Consider the following 6000-nt stretch of genomic DNA (forward strand, 5'->3'; position numbering starts at 1 on the left):
AATATGATTGGGCGGGAGAAAAACGGATAGTCCCTTAGACTCTAAGATGCTTTTGGGGTTGCGTTTTTACAGGGAGAATATATTCATGTATTACTGCACAATGTTCTAAATAAAGTCTATTTGGTATCCATTAGGTTTTGTAAAATTTGTTTCTTGTAAAAATATATGCTAATTATGAAAAAAATCAGTTTAATAAAGTAAAAATTAAATCATGAGTCTTAGACATCCTTCAATGAAAGAACATATTAAATTTACTTCATTCTATTAAATACTTACATCATATTCCATTATATAAATGTCCCATAATTGTTTAACTGTTCCATTGTAACCAGAACCACTAAGTTATTCCCAGCCTTTTGTTATAACAAACCCTGCTGCAGTGAACAAGCTTGTATATATGATATTTGTTGTGCAGAACTGTAGCCTAATTCTTAAAGGTGGATTTGCTGGGATATGTTGAAACTATATGTCCCAGGTGGCCTGAGGCCGTCCTGGTTTACACCTGTTGTCCCGGAATTGCATTCAGTTAACACTGTCTTTTTTTCTTTTTTTTTTTTTGAGAAGGAGTCTCGCCCTGTGGCCCAGGCTGGAGTGCAGTGGTGTGATCTCAGCTCACTGCAACCTCCGCCTCCCAGGTTCATGCCATTCTCCTGCCTCAGCCTCCTGAGTAGCTGAGACTATAGGCACCTGCCACCACGCCCAGCTGATTTTTTATATTTTTAGTAGAGACGGGGTTTCACCGTGTCAGCCAGGATGGTCTCGATCTCCTGACCTCGTGATCCGCCCGCCTCAGCCTCCCAAAGTGCTGGGATTACAGGCGTGAGCCACCACACCCAGCCTTAACACTGTCTTTTACTCTCAAAATTGTCCAGTCTGTAGGATAAATTAATTTTAAATTTTAATAGATACTGCCAAATTACCTTCCAAAAAGGCATTCCTACACTTTAATCATGCTGCAGATCAGAAGACTTTTTGGTCTTTTTGAAATTAAAATTTTTTTTAAATTATGAATAATTAAGATATTTTTCAACCAAAGAATGATTGTTTTCTTCAATATAGAAAGATGCAAAAGAGATCCCACCCAAAGGCATTTTTATTGTTTAATATTAAGTCGACTTTGCTCTCAGGTAGTCCCATTATGTGAACCCCAAGGATCTTAGAACAGCCAGGCTGTACTGTAGACTGTCAAATAATGCTGTCGGGGTGGGCATGCTGGCTCACACCTGTAATCCCAGTACTTTGAGAGGCCATGACATGAAGATAACTTGAGGCCAGGAGTTCAAGACCACCCTCTGCAGCATAGTGAGACCCCATCTCTACCAAAAAATAAAAAATAAATAGCCAGGCATGGTGGCACAGGCCTGTAGTCCTAGCTGCTCAGGAGGCTGAGGCAGGAGGACTACTTGAGCCCAGGTGTCAGGGCTGCAGTGAGCCAAGATTTTGCCACTGCACTTCAGCCAGGGTGACAAAGTGAGACCCTGTCTCTAAAAAACAAACAAAAATGAATGAATTCATTAATGCGTGCTATGAGCACGTGAGCTGTTTTTCTTCTTCTCATGGAGTGATTCTGTCCATTGTATAAATGAGCTAGTTTTAATTTTAGCTTGTACAAGCTCCACAAGTCTGAATCTTCTTGGTATTTAATAGGTAGGTCTTTGTAGAGTCATTAGCAGCATGAGTTTTCTGTCAATACTTCCTATCCGTAGAGGACCAACAGTAGAAATGTGTAGTTATCTTAATTAGTGAAAAGACAGCAGATGCTAAGATTTCCATTTCGGTGACAATGTAACCTCACTCTTTCTCATGTTTGCAGATGAAGTTGGAGGTGGCTCCTGTATTTTGCTGGTCTTGCTGTGCATAGCAACGGTTTTCCTCAGTGTTGGAGGAACTGCATTATACTGCACTTTCGGTGACATGGAGTCACCTGTTTGTACTGACTTTGCAGACAACATGGACTTCTATTACACTAAGTTACTTCAGGGAGTGGCAGAACTGAAGCACTGGATCTACCTCTCCTAGCAGCATTCCAGACACAGACATGCTGGCAGTGAGAGTGAAAGGCGGGAGACTTTCTAAACAGTTTTTCTTTCAGGAATTCTGTAGCATTCCCCCTTCCCTCTGTTAGGAACCAAGGACATCAGAAATAGCAACTTTAAGTGGCAAGCCGGAGGAACTCTGTTAGAATAATCCACACAGTGAGGCAAATATCAATCTAAGCATTGTGGATGGAAGGAATGGTCTTTGGAGAGAGCATATCCATCTCCTCCTCACTGCCTCCTAATGTCATGAGGTACACTGAGCAGAATTAAACAGGGTAGTCTTAACCACACTATTTTTAGCTACCTTGTCAAGCTAATGGTTAAAGAACACTTTTGGTTTACACTTGTTGGGTCATAGAAGTTGCTTTCCGCCATCACGCAATAAGTTTGTGTGTAATCAGAAGGAGTTACCTTATGGTTTCAGTGTCATTCTTTAGTTAACTTGGGAGCTGTGTAATTTAGGCTTTGCGTATTATTTCACTTCTGTTCTCCACTTATGAAGTGATTGTGTGTTTGCGTGTGTGTGCGTGCGCATGTGCTTCCGGCAGTTAACATAAGCAAATACCCAACATCACAAAGATGATCTTTCTTCTTTTAACTTGATGATGATGTGCAGGCACAAATCTTTGGAGAAGGCTTAACTGTGGAATAGATGAATTCTAGAACTCTTGACCCTGCAATGAGAAACTGTGACAGATCTGTGTCAATTAACTTGATTAGCCAGAAATTAATCACAGGCCTAGAGACCAAAGAAAAAGCTCCCCTGAGTCTCAGGCAACAGTTTTGTCACGGATGCAAAGCTTCCTGAAATCATGAATGCTGGACTCAGTTTGGCAAACGCTTACACCTATTATGTTCTGAGATTCTGAGAACCAGAATGCAAACTTAAGTAAGATACAGTTCCCACTGTAGGTGTTTTAATCCTGGTCTTATATAGAATAAACCAGTACTTTGCTGAGTGAAATCACCATATAGAATTCAGTATTAACAGATCATGCATTCAGATGCTTGAATGTGCATTCTTGTTGTGGGCTTGATTTAGATCCTATTGCGGGGTCATTACGCAAAAATTCAATCATACCTTCCATAGACAAATGTCTGATTTTTGTTTAAATCTGTCCGTTAGGTGGCCTTTCCTTATCTGAGGTGTAGTGGTCTAACATTTAGGAAGCCTTGCTTTGACTTTATCGGGCAGCATTAAAAAAAAAACAACAAAGAAAAACCAAACATGAATTATAGTTTTTAACAAGTGATCTTTATTTCCTGTCTTCTGTTAGGATCATTTGAAAGAAAAAGGGAGAACTTACTTTCTAGTTGTTACTGGCTGGCACAGTACCTCCCTTTGTGTTTCTGCTTATTTATTTAGATTATGTGAATCTTAAAGGGCTTTTTATATCAGTTGAAAGTGTGTTACTGCGCATGCATTTGGTGATTCCAGTGCTAGATATTTAATTACTGTGTATTTAGTGTTTTGATTTTCTATAATTTCAGTTCCGCGTGTTTTTACACTTGTTCATTTTAAATTGATGTTTCATTTTCACTTATAATACTGTTTGACTTGTCTCTATCATGTCACCATAAACTGTAATATTTTCAAGGGTTATAGATCAAAGATATTTATTTAGAAATGTACAAGATAATGAAATTTAGATTCCTTATACTTAAGGCTGATTTTATTAGAAGATTATTTTAATGTTCTATTATAAATTTTAAGAATTTGTATTCAAATTGTATGTAAAATATGTAAAATGTTGACGGTACTATATTAAGTGGTTCTATAAAAGCTATTCACAAGTTCTACTGTGATGGACATCCTCATCATAGACAAACCTCCTCTGTTTTATCCTCAATTTCTAGTTACAGAAATTTGGTGATGCTTATTTTTGCCAATTTTATGTCAAAATAAGTTAAAACTTCCCTCCTGTTCACCTCTTGGGTCTCTATCCTGTGTAACCTCTGGTGTAGTATTTGCCCATAGGCAACCAGAGCCACTTCCTCTGAACCCAACATCTCCTGGGGACCTTCGCAGCAAGAGGAAAGCACTGAGACAATAGCTTGCTAAGCAGGGGCCCAGTGGTGTCTCAGAGAAACCATGGGTGTCCTCGCCACTTCCCAGGGAGGGTGAGGTGAGCTCGGGAACATAACGATGTTTTGACTTACAATAGGCATGAAATCGCAACTAGAAAAATTAGGGCAGTTTTTAAAAATGTCATAGTTATCTATTGCATGAACTGGAGTAATTCCACCTGGTGGTGAAAGGATTGTTATTTCACACATGAAAAATTCATCCAGTTTTACTAAAATGTAATTTTTTCTGTCATTTGAAAGTACTGACAACTATTTGTAACTAATCTTCCTTAAGAACTGTATTTGAGGGTATCAAATCAAGCTTGTAATTTAAAATCTGTACCAACAAAGTGTCTCAGAGAGTTTATTTGAACCATTGGGTGCTGAGAAAAAACTGCTTTAAAGTGAAACTTTGATTTCAGAAGTTGATCTGGCCCTACAAGTAGACAGTCATCTACTTTGGGAAGACTAATAGGTCCTTAGGTAACGGCTCTTCTGCTTTAAAATACCTCCCCCATCTGCTGACAGTAGCTGAAGATTATTCTAAACATTCATTCTTTTAGATTTAAAAATAAAAATCTTCTGGAGGATTTAAGATTTGAAGGGGGCCTTATTTTGTTTTTTTGTTTTGTTCTATTCTGTTTTTTCGCCCTGTCGCCCAGGCTTGAGTGCAGTGGCGCAGTGTCTGCCAACTGCAACGTCCGCCTCACAGGTTCAAGTGATTCTCGTGCCTCAGCCTCCCAAGTAGCCAGGATTACAGACATGCGCCACCGCGCCCGGCTGATTTTTGTATTTTTTGTAGAGACGGCGGTTTCATTGGCCAAGCTGGTCTCGACTCCCAACCTCAGGTGATCGACTGCCTCAGCCTCCCAAAGTGCTGGTATTACAGGCGTGAGCCACCGCACTCGGCCCACGGGCCTTATTTGAAGGACTTACGTGAATTGGGTTTTGCTGGGGTGCCGGGAGGATATGGGGTAGGAGTGGCAGGGATGGAGAAAGGTGAAAGGTGGGAAAGGACACAGAAATCCTTTAGCTGTTCACCTGCTTTGCTGAAGGTGGCCTTGAGGCATTTACTCCCAATCCAGAGAGAGGCTGAATTTTTCCCTTCTGGTGACATGAACTGCGTAACTGTCCGTTTCTTTGGGCTCGCTGTTGTGTACGATTTTGTGCAGTGTGTGTGGTGTTTACACATTTTTTCATTTGATGCTGAGATTAGTAAATACACATCCCTCCAATCCAGATCTTACAACTCCCAAATCCGTCATAGTTTCTATACTGCCCTGTTGCCTCTATCTTCAAAAAGAGTAAGTAAGAGTGATTCGAGGATTTATGGCACAAATTCTAGTGCCATCTGCTGTTTTAACAACCCCAAAGATAAACATTTATTGAGCCTCCTGTCCTAACCCTATACAAGCTACAGTGGGTTAGAAATTTCCTTAAGGAATTTTTGTACTATTTCAATCTCCCTGGGTTTAGGCTACTGAGAGAAAAGCTGCGGTAACCAATAGGTACCCGTTCTCTTCTCCCTGATCAAAGAAGAGTTGCTCCCAAACTCACCTTTTTGTCTATTCCCGTGAGATCAGTGCAGAACTATGAGCAACAGCGTTTATCACTGTCTTTACCTTGGCAAACGTTTGAATGCCTGCCGTGTGCCTAGCACTGAGCCGGGTTCTGGGGCCCCGGAAACAAGAAATGGTACCAGCTCCAGGAATTAGCATCTGCTGAGGGAAACATATTTGTGCAGAGGGAATAAAAAGGAAGAACCTGGGAACGTGCTACTCACGGGGTGGGAACCAGAGCTTCCCTGGTGTGTCACACACTATTAGATGCTACTCACGGGGGTGGGGACCAGAGCTTCCCTAGTGTGCGTCACACACTGTTAGAAATCCAAGGA

General features: G+C 40.7%; 1 protein-coding gene across 10 annotated transcripts in view, besides 1 other annotated feature; it reads left to right on the top strand.

Annotated features, from left to right (window-relative positions):
* The window catches only part of CNST (consortin, connexin sorting protein), a 102140-nt gene extending 97431 nt beyond the window's left edge, over window positions 1–4709 (top strand). For all 10 annotated transcript variants that reach the window (XM_011544111.2, NM_152609.3, XM_011544112.2 and 7 more), the window contains one exon: window positions 1814–4709. In XM_011544111.2, the coding sequence (XP_011542413.1) occupies window positions 1814–2019 (206 nt within the window). In that variant the 3' untranslated portion in view covers window positions 2020–4709. The remainder of the gene's footprint in view (window positions 1–1813) is intronic.
* Window positions 2287–2487: a silencer, noted in NCBI's record as "peak817 fragment used in MPRA reporter construct". NCBI's record gives its function as "represses an SCP1 promoter by STARR-seq MPRAs in K562 erythroleukemia cells {active_cell/tissue: K562}" and the evidence as "EXISTENCE:reporter gene assay evidence [ECO:0000049][PMID:32103011]".
* Window positions 4710–6000: the final 1291 nt, after the last annotated feature.

The sequence above is a fragment of the Homo sapiens genome, chromosome 1 (genome assembly GCF_000001405.40).
Source record: "Homo sapiens chromosome 1, GRCh38.p14 Primary Assembly".
Taxonomy (NCBI): domain Eukaryota; kingdom Metazoa; phylum Chordata; class Mammalia; order Primates; family Hominidae; genus Homo; species Homo sapiens.